This window comes from Homo sapiens, chromosome 11 (genome assembly GCF_000001405.40).
Source record: "Homo sapiens chromosome 11, GRCh38.p14 Primary Assembly".
Taxonomy (NCBI): Eukaryota; Metazoa; Chordata; class Mammalia; order Primates; family Hominidae; genus Homo; species Homo sapiens.
In genome coordinates this window covers 6,283,907-6,304,705 of record NC_000011.10, presented here as the reverse complement: position 1 = coordinate 6,304,705, position 20,799 = coordinate 6,283,907, and the positions used below count along the sequence as shown (strand labels likewise).

The window sequence follows — 20,799 nt, the reverse complement described above, 5'->3', positions numbered from 1 at the left end:
ATCCATAATGGAAAAAGATCCAAGTTAATTTAGGATGACCTTCTACCTTGCCAATGATAGCACATCAGACAAACTCCAGGAATGTGTAGAAATATTCTCACAAGGATGTGGTGAAATTTTGTTTTTTGTTTTATTTTCCAAAATACTAGTACTCATTATCAGAACACCTTTCTGTGTCTGTGGTATAATAGAACAGGGTTCTGGAATGTTCCCCCAAAAAGGCACCAGTGAACATATACCATCAGAGCCACCAGCAAAGCAAAATAAAAGGGAGTGAAAGCTTATAAGATTATTTGCAAAGAGTAATTTTTAGGGTAAGACACAAAAGGGTAGGAGTACGTATATATCTGTGTATTTTTCAGAGATATCTTAAAAATTAGTTTTTTAGAGGGTTTAATTTTGTATTTTTAAAAAAATTATAAAAATTTTGTCATTCGTAAGTTATTTACATATATATGCTGCTATCAAATGCACTTGTCACCTGTAGAGAACAACTGATGCCAACACGAAGTTAATAGCAATAGTAAGTGAAAATAGAAAACTGTCACATGGTAGTGTTATTAAGGGGTCTCACCATATCACCATGTCATTAATTTTAATATGGATTTTAATATTTAATATGATACAAATTAGCTTTAACTGTGATTTTCTGCTTTTGATTTAGGTGTGATTAAACAGAAAGGGGGAAGAAACATAGTGTGGATCCGGTGCAGACACACATCATCCCCACAGCGGGAAGTTAAAAAGGGGTTTAATGATGTAGAAAAGGGCATTCAGGTCAGTGCATGCTGACCAGGCTTGTCAGCAGTTTGTCTGAAAGGAACAAGGAGGATTTAAAGTCACAGAGACTCATGTCGGCTTAAGAGTCATGCCTCTCACGAACATCATTGTTATGCAAAGGGCACCTGTACAGCCAAGTCACTGTCCATAGTGCCTGGTTTGGTGATTTGTTCAGTGTAGGCAGGACAAAGCGGAGGGGGCAGAGAAGGCTTCTGCGACAGGGAAAAGTACTAAAATGCTTAGGAGAAGCTGGGTGGTACCTGGGGCCCCTTAAGAGTGATTTGAGGAGGTAGATATACCTCTGGAACAGATTAAGCACTGGCAAAGGCTTATAGATCATTAGGGCTGTTGAATGTTTCCATAAATTTTGTTTCTGTTTAATTTAATACCCCAGAAGGTGGTCAAGAGGGGATATTCAGAGACTCCTGAAAAAAACAGAAGTGAGTCTTGAATATTTTGTTCAACTCTAATGGGTTAAAGAAAAGCCAAACAAATCACTATTCTCATGGTATGGATGGCAGCTGAGTTGTATATAGGAACTCTCCCAGTGTACATTTCAAACATTACAGTAATTCAAAGCTTATTGCAGACATGTTATCAAAGTTAACAAGAACTATTAGAAAGAATAGAGGTAGGCCGGACATGGTGGCTCACGCCTGTAAACCCAGTATTTTGGGAGGCTGAGGTGGGCGGATCACCTGAGGTCAGGGGTTCGAGACCAGTCTGGCCTACATGGTGAAACCACATCTCTACTAAAAATACAAAAATTAGCTGGGCAAGTTGGTGGGCACCTGTAATCCCAGCTACTTGGGAGGCTGAGGCAGAAGAGCCACTTGAACCTGGGAGGCAGATGTTACAGTGAGCCGAGATTGTGCCACTGCACTCCAGCCTGGGTGACAGAGCAAGACTCCATCTCAAAAAAGAAAAAGAAAAAAAAATAGAGTTAAACACAGGACAAAGAAAGCATTTTTCTGGTCAGGTAATGGGCATCAACATGTCCTGTGGACTTCGATTATCTGAGGTTGGGGGTTGGGGATTGAGGTGGCTAACACGATCTACAGTGGGAAGCTCTTGGGCATATGGGCAAAACCTTAGACAGCTACCTCATGGACTCTTTAATCTTCCCTGAAGTTTACAGAAGCTAAGGCTTTTCTGGAAAATAAGGGGAGACTCCTCATATCTTTTAATATGGCTCTGAGCCAGCATTATGTGGGTCCTGGGCCAGCTCTCAAAACAACAGCCCTGAGCAGATAAGGAAAATAAAACACAAGACACTGACCACTTTCAGTATGTTATGCTTCCATTCATCCTTATGGCCCTATATAAGCTTTAATTTTTACCAGAAAGAGAGCTGCCTCTATCACCCCTCTAATGGAGCCTCCTCTCCATCCAAATACTGTGCTATTTGGCCTGCAGTTGAGGGGTTATCTAGCAGGCCGCGCCTTCCAGGGAGGGAAGGGTCTGTCAGGAGCTACTTCCTAGATGGCTTCGCAGTGATCAAAGGAACCAGGGCTGCCTTTGAGTTCAGTGATTGTTGCCCTCCATCCCCCTATGGCTGTAAGAGACTACAACCCTGGAAAACAATCACCTTTGAACAACATTGGAATGGAACTCGGATCAGATCTTGCCATGTGGACAGCCTCGGGTTTTTGGTATATTGCTCATTGCTCATTTGGGTGGCACAGTTACAAAAAAGGACAAAAATGATCAGGAAGCGACAACCCCGAATTTGGGTCTTTTCCGTGTGTACAACTTAACTATTGCCTCTGGAACGACAAGAGGCAGCATATGGATTTTTGCTTTTGTGGGGATGGTTTTACAAGTAATTCCAGTAGGTTACTCTGCTACGGTGCTTGACAGCAGCACCCTGGAGGGCCATACCCCTTCCTCCTTGCTTCCCTGAATATTTGAGATGTGCACAGCCTGCCGAGCAGGTGTGTAAGACTCATTCTCAGGCGGTACTTGTCAGCAGAGGGCTTTTTAGACCCATCAGGAGGATATCTTGCAGGGGCTCTTAGTGGTATTGTGTTTCCAAAAAGAAGGGTGATGGAGTGGGGGTACATCTGTTGAGCCAACAGTTATAATTAGTCATGGTAGATTTTAAAAAGAGCTGTGTATTTAGAATTCACATTTATGATGTGGTCTCTCTTGTTCTGGCAAGATACATTCTGAATTATGTAAAGGATTCTGAGATTCTGGATGTGCTGAATGTGGAAAAGCATTGTTCAATTACATTCTTATCATGGGCCCTGTTCATTACACATCCACAATCACCATGTCCACAGTGTCCGTGGAAATTGGGTTTTCACATAATTTTCCACAGCTGTTTTCTAATTTGATACCCTTAAATGACACTGTAACTCCCTGTATGATGACTGCCAGAACCTAAAGCCCCCAGGCAATTTTCTAAAGAAACATTGATAATAAATATTGGGGTGGTAGCCCGATAAATAGCATCTCTGTTCCCTAATAAAGTTGGAATAGAAGTATGTGGCAACAGTAGACTTCCCAATCCTGAACTCCTCTGGTATCAGAGAGATTTGCCAAGTTATAGTCTGACCTGAAAAACCAGAGTCAAGCAGCCATCAGCACTACCGCTCTGTAGATAGGAAGATTCCCAGAGGGAGAGAAAGAGGGCAGGAGGACAGGGCTGGGCCACACACACCCAGTTCCCCTTTCAAGTCAGGCAATTCACTTGAGAGGCATAAGACCTAGGGTCAGAGGGTTTAGGGAAAAATCCTTCTCATGAAAGCAATAGGTACTGCAAAGGAGCCTTCCTCTACTAACACTATTTTCTCAATTTTCCAGAAATTTCTTTTCCCCAGCTCAAAATAGCTTTGTCCTAAATTAGATGATCCAGAAACAAAGGACTGAGTCATGATAGGCTGTATATCAAACTGTTAACAATGACACACTTGTGTAAAACTTTTTAATTTGTTTTGTTCTTTTTTTTTTTTTTTTTTCAGAGACGGATTCTCACTCTGTCGCCTAGGCTGGAGTGCAGTGGCCGATCTCGGCTCACTGAAACCTCCGCCTCCCGGGTTCAAGCGATTCTGGTGCCTCAGCCTCCTGAGTAGCTGGGATTACAGGCCAGTGCCACCATGCCTGGCTAACTTTTTTGTATTTTTAGTAGAGATGGGGTTTTGCCATGTTGGCCAGGATGTTCTCGAACTCCTGACCTCAGGTGATCCGCCTGTCTCAGCCTCCCAAAGTGCTGGGATTACAGGCATGAGCCAACTCGCCTGGCTTGTTTTGTTCTTTTTACTTACTTTGGCTCATCTGTCACAGAAGTCCTCTGCTAAACAAAGATGTTTGTGGATGTTTCTTCCCTGAGCAATAATTAAACAAAGTTTTTCAAATTGTCAAAATCATTCTAGCATTCTGGGGGATGCCCTTAACCTTGATGATGGACTTTCCAGCTACTAACTTGGGGCTTTATGACTCAGAAACTTGACATGTTCCCAAGGTAACATTAACTTCTGGGTTTGTTTATTAACCGTCCTAAGAAAAGGTCTCACTCTCTGCTGTTAGGAATACATGTTTTGATAATGACGGTGGTCCTACACACACTCAAGCAAGCCATAAATACCCAGGAGGGCATATACTGTGGTGAAAGATGAAGGCCTTTTTTCTGAACTGGACAAGTATCCTCAGCATTTTTCCAGCAAGCCATTATCATTACCGTCATCTATGCATTGACAATAGGATATATTAGCCATCGCTAAAGTGGGGTGCACAATCTCAGGGGCTACTCAGGACAGCCTTTTGAAATTTCCATTTTGATGATGAGATACCTGGTACAACTTCTCAGCACATTACAATGTCTGCCAAAATAGTGTCAGGACACCTCAGTCAATAGAACAGAAAAAACACCAAGTGCTTCTGAACAGGGATGTCATCATAAAGCTTCTAGAAAGTTTCTGCGCTAGGTTGCTGGGAAAGTCGCCAGACTGGGCTGCCTCAAAAGTCTCTGATACTTTGCCTTAAAGTCTCTAGGCCCTCTGTGGCTAAAACAAAGACGGGGACAAGCCATTAAAGGATAATTTAGTTCTAAGTAGCCATTAAAAGATAATTTTCATAAACAGGTAAGATCAGTACTCTTATACAGATATAAGAATAAACATGAGTTAAAGTTTTTATTTAACTAATTCATGAGGAAAGCAGTGAAGTATTACAACCAGGTGAAAGGAGAATCCCAAGGACAGACACATTTATAGATCCGGAATATTAAAATGACTGTGCAAATACAGCCAGATGGGGTTTTTTTTGTTGTTGTTGTTGTTTTACCGGACAGCATTCATTTGCATATCTATAGACAAGAATGATTTAGCATTGCTGCCAGTTATCTACACTTTATAGAGCTGCAAAACAGCTCCCACAGAATTGGAATCAGACAAGTCAGGTGTGCTCTGGAATGACAACACGTAATTTTCAAATTAAGCACAATTTTTTCCTTATAGTCCCCCCACTTTTTATTACAAAGAACCTCAAAGATTCTTGATGACAAAATGAGTATGGTCTTATTAGATTCGGCCTGGTTCTTTAAACAGGTGCAGCAAGACTGTTAACCATATGGGCCTTCTTTAAGTTTTTTCCGCTAGAGGTTCTCTAAGAAATCTCAGCTTGATCTTTTACAAGCTTCTATTCATTTGCTGTCTTGAAGCTAAGATGGTAAGTCCAAGGAAATTTCTCCATAAGATTTCATCTGTAGTATCTATACATTTTGGCCTAATTCCTTTCTTCTTGAATCTTCCTTCCTTCCTTCCTTTGCCATGTTGGCCAGGCTCGTCTCGAACTCCTGACCTCAGGTGATCCACTCGTTTCAGCCACCCAAAGTACTGGAATTATAGGCATGAGCCACCGTGACCAGCCTCTTCTTGAATTTTTCAAAACCTCTCAAGGCTCTTGGCCTGCCACGAAAGTGACCTCCCTTACCACCTCCAAGGCTGGATCCTGGATAAATCCAGGTACCAGGACGGTTTTCCTTGGACAGATTTGCCAGCACTGGCTCCATCAAATCAACCTTAGTTTCCTAAAAGGGGCTGATCATGCACAGGCTATGGCTTCCCTGGGCTGGCAGGAAGCTCCTCTGCAGCTGCTGTTCACAGAGCTGCAGCCTGGTGGCCACTGATGCCAAAGACTGGGTACTTGGAGCCACTGGTGCGCTGGTCAGCAGAGGGCGTGCTCCCTGCCACCTGGGCGGAGAGGACTGGGGAGGATGAAGTAGGGTGAGGTTGGTGGGCTTACTACCTTAATGCTAACTCTCACAGCTGTTTGGAGATGAGCCCACCACCACCTGCCCCTGCTTGTCTCAAATCTTTTCTAAAAAGGACAAAAGAGGCTCACCAGTTGTTCCTCGTGTTCCTGGTTACAAATTATTTGGCAAAGTTTATCCCAGAGATTATCTTTAGAAAACTTTCAAAAATAATTTAGCAAAAGTATGAAGCACAAACAGAAGGACCTGTCAACCACCATGTCAGGCTTCAAGACATAAGAATTTCGAATCTGAACCATTTTTACCTGTACTCTGATTTCCAGGTATGAGCCATCATATGATTGATTACTGCTTTTATGTTCTGCTTAAGAAATCTTTGCCCACTCCAAGGAAATCTTGTCAAATCATTAGAAGAAGCTTTAGGTCACCAACAAGAATGTGGGACTGTGAATCAGTCTCAAAATCAAGAAATTAAAGCAGTCAAAAAAAAGAAAGAGAGAGAAGGAAAGAAAGAAAAAAAGAAAGAAGGAAAGACAGAAAAAAGAAAGAAGGAAAGAAAGAAAACAGTAATTTAAACAGGAAGAAAATATTGCCAGTTGCAGTGGTTATTTGGACCAGTGAAAAATAAGGCATAGTAGGAGAAAAGGTAAATTATGTTCAGGGGTTGCCCCCTAGTGTTCCTGGGCAAATTTGTAGTCTCACTGTAGGAAATGAATGGATTATCATTCCTGACCTTTATGAACTAGTCCTCTCAAGAGGAAAGGAGTGGTGAAAAAACTTTGGTGAAACAAGTTCTCTCTGAACACATCATTCTCTCTGATAGAGAAGGTGTACCTGTTGGCGATCCTGGTGCTGGTCTGGAATTAAGCTGGACAGATCCTATGCATTGCCATCTCTCTACCTACATCTTTTAGAAGAGTGGCCATTTCATGATGTTTTACATAGTATGGTAGCAGCATATTTATGTTACAGTCCTGATGTTAGTTATGTCCAAGGATGCATGTCATTGTGGTAATGCTCATTCTCAATTTGGAAGAGACCAATGCCTTCACTGCATTTGCAAAGATCTCATAAATAAGTCACGCCAGTTGGTCTTCTGTGTGGATCACAGCAAGGTGTTAAGATATTTTGCAACGTTTGAAGTATTCTCTGAAGACAATTTCTTCAGATTGTTTCTTCAAGTCTTATGGCCTTACACCAGGCACATGCTTAATAGATAGGATCTTCACACTGTATCATAAATCACTACTCTACTTGATCTGTTCTATCCAGTCTGAGATGTTTTACAGAGACAGGAAGAAATTTTTATTTAGAACTGGACTAGGAACCCTTCATCTGTATGAAGATAGTTTCCTACAGATGGACTTGATTCATATTGCACCTTGTCTAACTAAACGGGCAGAGGCTATCATATCAGAAAAGCTGTTTAGCTGTATTGCAGTCACCTGGACACAGAAGAGTACCAAGAAATGGCCCTAGGTCTTTGTGTCTGTAATGAAGCATATTAAAGAAGGAGATAAGGATATTTTTAAAATGTAGCATATTTAAAGTATTAGAAGTTCAAATCCATTATTTTCTGGGAATTTTAAGAATATTCTTTTTATATAAGTGCTTATTTATCTCTATCAGCCAATCAGAAAAGAGCCTCTTTAAAAAGAGATTGATAATCTAATTTATTAGTATTATCTAGAGGTAGGAAAATTTTACATACTTACACTGTGAAAGGTAAAGATCTTTCTAAATTATGGACACATAGACAAACAGAGACAAAGAAATCTTATACTTCAATTAAAAATTCCATCATGGGTTAAGGGTAATAAAGAAACCCCAAAACTCACCAGTCTCAGTATGAAAGATTTGTTCTCCTTCCCAGTGAGCCCAGGATTCTTAATTCATTTGGGCTTAAAGTAGACAAATAGACAAACAAAAAGAACTAATAATCCAGATTCTCCATTTTCTCTCACACAAAAGAGAATATGTCTCTATAAGTCATTCATCTATTTATAGAGATCACCAAATGGTCAGACTATGAAACCCAATTCTCAATCATTGCTGCTGCTAATGATTATTGCCTACAAATGAACCAAAACCAAAACACAAAATTAGTAAAGAGAAAAATTAAAATTACAAAAATAGCAAAGATGCATGTGTAAATTGAGCCCAAACTCGTTTTTATTTGGGGGTGGGGTGGGGTAGGGAGGTAAGAGGGAATGGTGTTTTGCATTGCCGTTATTTACAGCTTAGAGTTGTAAAAGAGCTCCCATAGAAACAGAAACAGATAATAGGAAGTGTGGGCTATTGACAATGCATGGTTTTATTGAAGCTCAAAATCTACTCTACATAAGGTAATCCTTAAGGTTGGGATGCTGATGCCATTTTCAGTGTTACAAAGCTACGGTCCTAACTGGGCCTGCCTGTAATCCACTCACTTCTGAGCCCCAGCACACGACTCTAGGATTCTGTTTACAACTCTTCTCCAACCCCAACTAGCCCACGACTTTCATCCAATCAGGACAGGCACCCTCTCGTAGCACTCACAGTATCACCAGTCAGGCCACACACAACGGGGAGAAAAAAATCAACCCTCTTTCCATGTTTTTGAAATCCAGATGTGAAGAGCTAAAAATAATTTTTTAAAACTTGAATTTGTTTAAAATCTCCCTAACTGTAGTTTCCAATGTAAAAAGCAAAGCAAAGCGAAGCGAAGTAAAACAAACCAAAAACCCACTCACAAATCCAAAGGGATTTTCTTGAACTGTTTCAACAAGAAAAACAGCAGGCTCTTCCTACTTTTCTGAAGCTCCTAAATAAAATTTTTTTCTGACTCAGAGTTATAGTGAATTGCTCAACTTTATTTCCCAATGTAAAAAAAGGAAAAGAGAAATCCTCACAAAAATACTGCAGTAAGGCCGGGCCCGGTGGCTCACGCCTGTAATCCCAGCACTTTGGGAGGCCGAGGCGGGCGGATCACGAGGTCAGGAGATCGAGACCATCCTGGGTAACACGGTGAAACCCCGTCTCTACTAAAAATACAAAATATTAGCCAGGCGTGGTGTGGGGCGCCTGTAGTCCCAGCTACTGGGGAGGCTGAGGCAGGAGAATGGCGTGAACCCGGGAGGCGGAGCTTGCAGTGAGCCGAGATCGCGCCACTGCACTCCAGCCTGGGTGACAGAGCAAGACTCCGTCTCAAAAAAAAAAAAAAAATACTGTAATAAACTGTTAATGAGGAGGACAGAAAGAAAAAAGAAGGCAGTCTATCATTCACATGTCTAAAATAGTGCTCGGAAAAGGTGGAGATGCTCCCTTCTCCGAGAGCTTTAAAATGAAACTTTAAGGGCACAATGTGGTGCTCTAGAAGGTATGACATGATATTAAAATGAGTTCCCTCTGTCTTAGATGCAGCTGCAGCCCAGAAGCAAAATAAATAACAGAAGGTGGCAAGCCCCCTACTTCAAGGTGGAGTGTTGGACTACCAAGGCAGGACCAGCAAAGGTTTTGTGAGCTACAGGTCAGTATCCATTCCTCAATCCCTCATGGTTTGAGGTTGAAGAACTGAGGGAGTGGCTGGGTGCGGCGGCTCATGCTTGTAATCCCAGCACTTTGGGAGGCCTAGGCGGGCAAATTACTAGAGGTCAAGAGTTTGAGATGAGCCTGGCCAACATGGTGAAACCTTGGCTCTACTAAATAAAATACAAAAATTAGCTGGGTGTGAGGGCAGGCGCCTGTAATCCCAGCTACTCAGGAGGCTGAGGCAGGAGAACTGCTTGAACCTGGGAGATGGAGGTTGCAATGAGCTGAGATCGTGCCACTGCACTCCAGCCTGGGCAACAGAGCGAGATTCTGTCTTTAAAAAAAAAAAAAAAAAAAAAAAAGAACTCCAGAAGAGAGACTCTGGAAAAAAAAGGTTGAGGCACTGTGGCACTTTTTTCTTCCACCTTCTTACCTTGTGGAAGGTTGGAAGTGGTGAGCTCCTCCTCACCCTAAGTCTCGTGAGATGGGGCTTTAAAAGATCAGCTGGAAAAGCTGGAAAACGATGTCTGTAGAATTGACAGGCCCAAAGTGACTGGTCTTTGCCCCATGCTGGAGAATATTAAAGGCAAAGGCAAAGATTAAAAGTAGGGCTGGAGCGTGTATTTCTTGTGAACCAGATAGGGGAAGGGAAAATATAAACATGAAGATTGTTTTCCAGGAGATCCCACTTCAGTAAGTCGGCTTCCTCCTAAAGGGTGCTAGGCAGCAGGGGGTTAGAATCAAACGCAGAAACGTATGGAGTAAGTGGCCAGCAGGAGGGTCTGTTACAGACCAATGTGTTCAGTGGAGCCATCTGTAAGGGCCCCACATAAGTGTCCTGTGTGAGGAGTCCATAGTAAGCATCTGCAAAGATCATGGAACACTACCAGCAAGTACTACTGTTCCCCTGAACTGAGGCCTTTTCTCCTTTCTCGCTCTTTCCTTCTCCCACCTCTACCCCAAACCCTGTCAGATCCATACCCCAGAGAAAGTAGGGGAGGAGAAGTAGAAGGATTAGGCTGGAAAACAAAGAAGCTAGCTGTGCCAATGCCTACCCACACCCCCACCCCTGCCCCTTCCCCTGCCCCTGCCTCCTTCTCTTGAGTTCAGGCTTCCTGAATGAACCTCTGAGTATATTCAGCTTCCAGCCTGAATCGGCTTGGGCTGGGGAAGGAGAGAAAGAAGAAAAATTTGCCTTAAAGTTCAGAGTTTTGACTATTATGAGACTGTTTTATGACTAAAAATGACTGGAGTACTTTTTAATTTTTCTGAGTGTCTGGAGAAGCTACAGGAACCCACCTACCTGAGGTTTTACTAAGGGGCAAGGAAGAAACTAGCCCCTGAGCAGAGGGAGCAGGTTAAAAAATAAAGTTGCCTTATGATTGCATCCTATTAAATGCCATCTGTTTTAGTCTTTTTTGTGCTGCTGTAACAGAATACCACAGACTGGGTAAATTACAGTGAAGAGAAATTTATCGGCTCAGAGTTTGGGAGGCTGGAAAGTCCAAGATCAAGGGGCCAGCTTCTGGTGAGGGCCTTCTTGCTGTGTTAACCCGTGTTGGAAGGGCAAAGACAGGGTGAGAGAGAGAGCAAATGAGGGCCAACTAAGGAACCCACTCCTGCAACAAAAACATTAATCTACTTATAAGAGAAGAACTTTTATGGCCTAATCATCTCTTGAAGATTCCACCCCTTAATCTATTACAATGGTGATTAAGTTTCCATCATGTGCTTTTGGGAGCCACACTCAAACCATAGCACTACCCTTTTAACATAATGACTATACAAGTTTGCTCCAAAGAAGACAGTCTCTTTCCTAACCTCTAGTGAACAAACTAATATCCTTCTCCGGTAACTAAACAGGACTTGAGAAACTTTTATCCTGAGGATATTTGAATCAGAAAAATACCCTGCAGTCTCTGAGAAATTTGTCAACTACAAAGGACAAAACAATCAAGCCGGAAAATAACTTTCTGACTTGAGCTTTCTAACATTGGCTTCTTTTTTTTTTTTTTTTTTTTTTTTTTGAGACAGAGTCTCACTCTGTCTCCCAGGCTGGAATGCAATGGTGCAATCTTAGCTCACTGCAACAGCGGCCTCCTGGGTTCAAGCAATTCTCTCATCTCAGCCTCCTGAGTAGCTGGGATTACAAGCGCGTGCTGCCACATCTGGCTAGCTTTTGTATTTTTAGTAGAGATAGGTTTCATCATATTGGCCAGGCTAATCTTGAACTCCTGACCTCAGGTGATCTGCCCACCTTGGCCTCTCAAAGTGCTGGGATTACAGGCGTTGGCTTCAAATTTTTAATATGTCACAGGGTTAATCAGACAGAAAGTTCTGGAGATAAGGGCTTTTTAGAGGAGAAAAATAATACCCCAATGTTGGCTCATTCAGCTGGTCAAAACCATCGAGAAAGCAAACTAGACAGAGGAAACAATGAATTCTAAAACCTTACAAGGCAGGTCTTTGTATTTTCTGAGACTTATGTCCTAGGAAGCATGCCAAAGAACCTCTCAGTGAATTCTAGAGGCTTTGCACCTTAGAGTGGCAGGTAGACACCAGCTAGAGCCCTTTTCTGCCTCTCTGCTGAGAGTGGTACTGTCCTTACCAATCTTTGATATAAGTTATGAGCTGATGAAAGAATTATCTTTAAGGACCATGTGCATGTATGATTTCAGTGTAAACTGTGCTCTTTATTTCTAAGTACAGTGAATGTTTGTGTGCATTTGCTAACGAGTAGGTGCATTATAATCAATTCCTTCTTTATAATATATTGAAGTCTCTTTTTTTTTTTTTTCTGACATGGAGTCTTGTTCTGTCATCAGGCTGGAGTGCAGTGGTGCAATCTTGGCTCACTGCAACCTCCGCCTCCTGGGTTCAAGCGATTCCCCTGCCTCAGCCTCCCGAGTAGCTGGGACTATAGGTGCCCGCCACCACACCTGGCTAATTTTTTGTATTTTAGCAGAGACTGGGTTTTATCATGTTGGCCAGGATGGTCTTGATTTCCTGACCTTGTGATTTGCCCACCTTGGTCTCCCAAAAGTTCTGGGATTACAGGGATGAGCCACTGCGCCCAGCTGAAATATCTTAAAACACACCTGAAGAAGAGGGTATTATGGAGTTACTGGTGCAGATGATACCAACATTGCTTCAAAATGAACAGAAGTAAAGCTGCCTAAATGGAATCCCTGCAGCACTACTGCGGTAGACCCTGTAGGCTGACTAGCTAATTAGGCAAGGAGTCCTTGCTGGCAGTGAAGACCACAGGCCAAAGGCAGGGAATGGAGCTGTGGGGCCAAAAATGAACTTAAGTGTGAATAACTGGGGTGGGAGAATCCAAAAATTCTGTCCTATGTATCAGTACTTTTCAAACTGTAATTTGTATGGGAATGATCTAGGGGTGTTGTTAAAGTACAGGTTCTGATTTAGAAGGTCTGGGATGGGCTTGAGAGCCTTGATTTCTAACAATTCCCAGGGGATCACCCTGCTAAATCATCTTTTTAAGAAGGAAATAAATTGAGGGAAAGATTAAAAAACAAAAGAGGGGAATGAAGGTGGAAGTGAGCAATGTAAGCCCCAGTGCTTTCCCCAGGGCCATGCTCTCGGACCACTTCCAGGGGAAGACCTTTAGATTCTTCAGCCACCAAATCTCCTTGGAGGATTCTATTGCGGAATTCTCTTACAATAACTATACCACCTTGCTTATTTAGAATCTCTGTTGTATAGAGTTGGGGGGGAGGAGGGGTGTTCCCTCTGCATTTGGAGGAAAACTTCACAGTTCTAGAGTAGTGAAACCCTGGTGGTGGTGACAGCAGTGTCCCAGGGTGGTTGAAGTACTCCAAGGAATGGAGCTGAGATCTCACTGAGACTGCATACGAGGGAGCGCATACAAGGGATCTCATGGAAGGCATACAGAGGCATCACTGAGGATTCCTACAAATACATTTCTGGTGGGGGGTATTATAAGGGGGCATGAGAAGAATTAGACAAATATGTGACCTCCAGATAACTACATATATGCTCCAGAAGTGCCAGGATCTGGACACCTGCCTCACAGAGGCCATCACGCCAGTCTGTGTTAGCCAGAGAAGCAGTAACCACCCACAGAGACGGGAGCACAGCGTCACCTGGCTAAGGAAGGGGATGCTGTCTTTCTGCTTTTCCTTCTTCCCCAACACCAGTGGGAGGAACTATAGCAGGAAAGTTATGGGAGTACCTGAGAGTCAGACTATACTCCATCTCTCCTTTTTACTCTGATAATAACATTACAATTTTTAAACATATTTCTATGAATTTGCATGTTTATAATGTTTGCTCATTTTCCTATTGTGCTTGTATTTTCTTATTGATTTATAAGAACTCTTTATATATGTAAGTATATATACATACGTATATTACGTGTGTGTGTGTATATATATATATATATATATATATATATATATAAAGATACACAGATTTATATATATAATGAGAACTTTCTTGTGGGAAAAAAACCCAATAGCTTGAATCTTAGAGATTGCTAGTTATTAATGACAATAACAATGGCAGCTAATTTTTATCAATAATTTTCCAGGTACTCTGTTAGATGTTTCACATGGATTTTCTCATAATCCTCCTGACAACCCTATGAGGTAACTGCTATCACCTCAGAAAACCGAGATTTAAACAGTATAGACCACTTATCCAGTGTAACACAGCTAGTGAATATTAACACCAGGATTTGAACCCAGGCACACACTCTAGAGAAGAAGACAGGAAAGGCAAGAGGCTCTTGAGAATTCAGAGGGTCCTGAGAAGGGGGTATGCCAAGGCTGTGGGCTAAGAGTTATTAAGGTCGCAATCCTCTCCTTCCTCTCTCTTTAAAACAAATATTAATGGTGAGAGTGAGCTCTGGGCTAGGTACCGAGTAAAGGGTGGTGAAGGACACAGATAGGTCCCAGAGCTTACTGTGTGAAAGGAGAGAGCCACAACAAAAATAAGCATGTAATCTTAAATATTTGTACATGCTATGACGAAAAATTAGAAGGGCGTAACAGGTAACGAGTGGAGGACAGTTTAGACTAAAGGAGTAGGAAAGGCTTCTTTTGAGTAAGAAATTTTTAAATAGAGACCTGACAAAGAAGTATAATAAGTTAGTCAAATGAAGAGGAGGAGAAAAGAAGAAATTGCTAATGAAAAGAGAGAAATCATTCCTGATGTAGGAACGGTAAAAGGAAAGTAAATCTTGGGACCCCCAAATCACTAAGCCAAAGGGAAAAGTCAAGCTGGGAACTGCACTGGGAAAACCTGCCACCCGTTCTATTTTTTCCTTTCACAGAACAAACAGGACTTTTGAACAAGTGAAAGATGCTAGATGAGTAGGCAGGGGTTAGAGCAGGCAGAGAAGTGTTGAAAGTTTCAGGAGGGGACTTACAGGGTCCCTACCACTGGAATGAATTAGCAGAGGGTTTTGGCATTTTGAAGCTAAAGTCTCAGAATTTGTTGGTCAGTTATGGAGTCAGAAAGTGACCCTTGAAAGTGTGGGGATTGGGGCTCCTGAGGCAGGAACTGACCTTGGGCTTTGCCTATCTCAGGGGCTCCTGGTCTCAGTAGATTTTTCAGGGTCCGCGTTCTCTTCTCACCTACCCATTCTCTCCCACAATTTAGTCAGACCTCTGCAACAGATTTTCAAACTGTCCAGTCATTTCCACCTGGCCCTTTTCTACCTCTCCATCCACTTAGCATAGCATTTTCTCTTCGGGTATGGAAGAAATAGCTCAATTTTTTTGTTTTTACTCAAACCAGCTCTGGCATTTTGTACCTTTCTTCCTTTGCTCAAAACTACTTGTCATTCTTGGAATTTGACTCTCTTTTCATATTCACCTGGGAAGAATTTTAGAGCTGTAGAGAGCAGCCTAGCTCAGAAGGTACTTCCTCCACAAAGCTTTCTCAGACCCCCACAGTCAAAACCTCTATTTTGCCCATTATTGCCCATTCAAGGAGATCATAGTTGGCTTGCCTTAAAATTTTATTTCCTGCACATCTGTGCCTTCCAAACGTGAGTGAACCTATCTAGGGATGGACCATGTTACATCTTCTCAGATCTAGCCCCTTGCCTGCAGTTTCTCCTCTCCTTTCCTATAGTGGGGAATATTTCTTCACTCAAATTGATCAGTGGTGTGACCAACTTTGTAATCCTCACCTCCTAACCATATTCCCAATATTCCACAAAGGTAAGAGTCACTTGGATGTTTGTTAAAAAGTCAGATTCCTGGGCTTTGCCCTAAACCTAATGAATCAGATTCTTCAGACATGCCTCTCACATGTTATATACCTCTCTTTAAACATAATTTATATTTTTCCCTAGCAGCTTTGAAGCTTTTCTCTTTTTCGTTGGTTTTCTTTATCTTCACTATGATGGCTCTATGTGTGTATTTCTTTTGTACTTGCTGGAATTCGTAGTGCTAAAGGAAAGGGGTCCTGATTCAGACCCCAAGTGAGGGTTCTTAGATCTTGCGCAAGAAATAATTCAGGGCGAGTCCACAGAGTAAAGTGAAAGCAAGTTTATTAAGAAAGTAGAAGAATAAAAGAATGGCTACTCCATAGACAAGAGTAGCCCTGAGGGCTGCTGGTTGCCCATTTTTATGGTTATTTCTTGATGATATCCTAAACAAGGGGTGGATTATTCATGCCTCCCATTTTTAGACCATATGGCGTAACTTCCTCACGTTGCCATGGCATTTGTAAACTGTCATTGGTGCTGGTGGGAGTGTAGCAGTGAGGATGACCAGAGATCACTCTCATCACTATCTTGCTTTTGGTGGGTTTTAGCCAGCTTCTTTACTGCAACCTGTTTTATCAGCAACATCTTTATGACTTGTATTTTGCGCTAACCTCCTAACTCATCCTGTGACTTAGAATGACTTAACTGTCTGGGAATGCAGCCTAGCAGGTCTCAGCCTTATTTTACCCAGCTCCTATTCAAGATGGAGTTGTTCTGGTTCATATGCCTCTGACATGTCCCTTCTGCCTTTTATAGGAGAACCCTTAATCCTAAGGTTGCAGAGGGATGACGATCCATCTTTTGTAACGGCTTCACCTGAATAGGGGTGATGATATTCCTGCCTAGCTATTAGAGCCTCTTGTGTTTAGGGTAGAGAGGAACTCAATCAGAAAGCATTGGTATGGCAAGGGCCAATCATAACTTTGAGTTCCGAGAAAAGGTGATATCTCGAAGATTAATACGTATTTAGTTTAAGAAAACGTTCAGTAAGCTTATCCTACATTCCTACACAAAGAGTACAACAGCAATATATTCCACAACAGTAAAGCAAAATAAGTAAAACTATCTCAAGTAAACTAAATTAGAAGGCTTTATATGAATTGGGCAACTATTGGAACCAAGCTGATATAGGGTTGCTAGATGATTCCAGTACATGCCCAGAATTAGAATACTGATTCAGATTTTCACATTACCTTTCCCTTTTGTTTCTTCTGAGCAGCAGTCAGAGATTTCTGGTTGGTTCACAGAAATAAGCAGCGTTAGCCTAAATTGCAGAAACAAACTTAAAAACAACTGATGAGACTAGAATTTAATAAACAGTGTACCACAGTTCTTGAAACATAATTTCTCTCTCCAGTGTCCCATTTTTACTAAAGATAAGTTATGGTAAGACCAATTTGCTTTGTTTTGCTTGGCCTGATTACTTGTATAAAGTGCAGCAAAAATAATTATTTTTTTCATAAGCTCTTTTTGCACAGGCTTTGATGGAACTCTGTTCCCTAGAAGGAATCTTACATAAGACTTTTTTAGAGCCGAGCCCTTTCATGGGTTTGTACCCTCGAATACCTATGAGTTGAATAAATTCCTCTCCTCTTGGGGTCGCAAGATAACCTGGGGCTTCTGGACCTGTTAGAAAGTGACATTCTTTACTTACCACAGGTCAGAAACCTTGTATGGGGACTGTTATCCATACCTTGTATGGGGACCTTGTAGACAAGGTCTGAGGCCAATTGCCCAAGGGGCTTTTATTGGCTTTACAAGTCAAGTTTGATTCCTTAAAGAAAAGCACACCATTCCAATCAAAGTGTTGGTAAAATAACCAATTTCTCCAATTGTGTCCTGTTGCAAAAGAAAACATTCTTATTGCACTTATGCAAATACCTATATTGCCATAACTTAAGAATATTCACAACTAGTTTCCAAATTCTGGAGAAATCAGGTAGAGAGAAACAAATAAGCTCCAAATTTTGTTCGGAGGAGTATACTTTACTCAATTGCTAAAAGCTGTAAATAGCTCAAAAAAAAGTTTTCTTGACTCTGAAAAACAAAACAAAGGATTTAAGCAAAAAACGTTTTAAGCAAAAAGTTTAGAAGATACTTCAGACTTCTTTAGTTACTCTATGCAGTTAACTTTTGTTTGATATTCATGAACATTTCAGCTCCCTGTGAGAGCTCTGAAAGTTTTTTTCCTCTATTCTGATGTCACAATCTCCGAAGTTACCAGAAAACCTGCATTTAAGAGCCCCTGTATAGCTCTATAGCTGATTGTAAACCACCTTCTAAAGAGGAACAAAACGAGACTACAATTTTTTTATGGATGACAAAAAGTTTTAGCACAGTCAAGCCAAAATTGACTAGGAAATTTTGAGTACCTTTGTGGCACACAAGGATTTTATGTAACAATCGTACACTAAGTCCTGTCAGAATTACAGGAGTTTTAAAATAATTTTGGAACACATACCAATAACACATTTATACAAATACAGCCCAAAGAAAGCTAAACACTATTTTATATTTAATAATGCTTCCTGTATGATTTTTATGCCAAAAAAGCCAAATGTCACTGTTGCATTAGGGCATTATTGATGTCAAACCCAGTTCTTAATAAAACCTTATAGACAAATCTACCAAATTTTAATGTTTGGCCATAAGGTAAGATTCTCATAAACCTTTTATAACCCTTAAAAATTTTTGTTAAAGAGCAGATTATAAGCAGGTTTTTGCTCTAAGAAAAACCTGTTGTGCTTTTGTTCCAATGTTCAGTTTACAGAAAAACTGAATAATGCCACTTTAACTTTAGCCAACATGTTTACACACAGAATTTCTTTTACAATTAGTTCTTTACAAGCCTTCGATAACTTGTTCAAACCTTTAGCTTTATTTTATTTAACTTAAAACAATCCTTTGACCCTTTAAACTTAGGCAAAAAATCCACATTCCTATGCCTTCTTATAATCTTTTACCAAAAACACGTTTTACTTTTTTTTACATGCCTTACATGTAGAACCGTTTCCTCAGTAGTCTCAATTACATGTTATAATGTTAACTCCTGGCAACTTTTATTTTTGGTGAAAACCTTGGTAAGTTTGGGATTTTAATGATGTACTAGGTGTGGAGCCTAGCCTAGGACATACCAGGCAGAAGTGCAGATAAGAGCTGACCCTCCAGCATAGCTAGGGGACATGGCTAACTCCACATGTGTCCAGGTCTTACCTACAATCTAATATCTCCAAGGGAGGTAAATTGAACAATTTTTAAACGTCAAAGAAGCAGTTTATGACCTTAAAGCCTTTAGCAAACTTAATATCTAACCTGTGTAATTTAGACCAAATGTTTACATTTTTGAAGATATTTTTATTTTACCAATAATCTTTAAAACTGTCTTTATTTTCTGAGGATTACTTAAGTCACATGAACTAAAAGGCATTATACTTTTTACTTTTCTGACAAAATATTTGATTTAAGCTTTTATTACTATTAAACCAATTAATCAAAGCTCTTTTAGATATAAACGTCACACACACAACACATACAAATACACAGACAGACAGAAGATAAAGGATTCATCCGTAAGCCAGAAATGCACCCTAAACTTGGGCCACCATTGTGAAAAGAGAAAGCACAGCCACATGGTTACAAGGTCAGGCTCCCAAGGACATGACTGACCAGAGGGAAACCTCATGCAGTTCACACACACACACACACACACACACACACACACAGAAACAGAGAGAGAGAGGCCAGGCATCTGACTGGTAACACATTCTTATCCTTTTGCTGGCATGCCAGGTCTCTGGGTTCCCTTTCCCTGAGCGTCCCTAGTGACCCGTCTGGCTGCACCACAGCCCTGTGGGCCAAGACGCAACACAAAGGAAAATTATCTTTTTCTGTTCTGGTCAGAGCAAAATATGTGTGACAAAACATAGACATTAACCACTCTACTTAGCACCCAGTATCAAACTGGCAAGGCTCAAACTTGCCCCTATCATCATAAATCCAACCTCCGACCAGGAGTTTCAACATGTGTTCTCTGGGCAAGATGGTCACCCTGAGTAATAGAAAAAAAAAGAAATGAGAGAAAGAAAAGCATTGCTTGTGGCAGGGTGGGGAAGGCGAGGCTCTCAGGGAGGCCAGAGAAAGACCCACCCATTGCAGCGACCCTGAAAAGTTCAGGCGGCCGCTTGTTGGTCGTGAAGGGATCTTTTCCAGCAGTCCCACCAGCTCTCAAGTTTCCCCTTTTAGGAAGCAAAAAGCTCCCCATGTCCCACGATCCTGTAAGTGCCTAATTCTGTCACTCATAGCCATCAGCAAAGAGTGCAAGGCAGATTAATCCAAAGAAAATAGCAGTTAACATCCCATAATGCCAAACCTGTTCTTAGATGAGAGGGACTTTACTGAGAGGGGCCTCTAACCCCCTAAATCTTAGGAGGGACTCTAACCCTCCTAAGTTGGGCCTCTAACCCAAGGTCAGTCAAGTATCCTTGCCTTTTATTAAGAGGGGCCTCTAACTCATTCTGTTTTGGAAGAGACTCTAACTAGCCTAAGTTGGGCCTCTAACCCAATCCCATTCTTTACCTGCGTACTCCACCACTTACCCAAAGTCGTCCAATCAGTGCTGCGGTCTATTTCCTTTGGGTTGGTGGGTCTCCTCAGTATTGTCCCTTCTGTGGCTCATGAGAAAGATGCCACAGGACCCCACCACTTATCCAAAGTTACCCTTTGGGTCGGGGGTTTCCACACTATATTCCCTTCTGTGGTTGCCAGAAAGATGTTACAGGAAAGGGTCCTGATTCAGACCCCAAGAGAGGGTTCTTGGATCTTGCGCAAGAAATAATTCAGGGCGAGTCCATAGAGTAAAGTGAAAGCAAGTTGATTAAGAAAGTAAGTAGAATAAAAAAAATGGTTACAAAGCAGCCTGAGGGCAGCTGGTTGCCATTTTTATGTTTATTTCTTGATGATATGCTTAAAAAAAGGGGTAGATTTTCCATGCCTCCCCTTTTTAGACCATATAGGGTAATTTATAAACTCATGG

The 20,799-nt window shown here is 41.4% G+C and overlaps 1 annotated feature.

The window, feature by feature from the left end:
- Positions 447–1,165: an enhancer, noted in NCBI's record as "OCT4-NANOG hESC enhancer chr11:6324771-6325489 (GRCh37/hg19 assembly coordinates)". NCBI's record gives its function as "activates a minimal SCP1, AML or CMV promoter by ChIP-STARR-seq in naive H9 embryonic stem cells {active_cell/tissue: H9 hESC(naive)}" and the evidence as "EXISTENCE:reporter gene assay evidence [ECO:0000049][PMID:30033119]".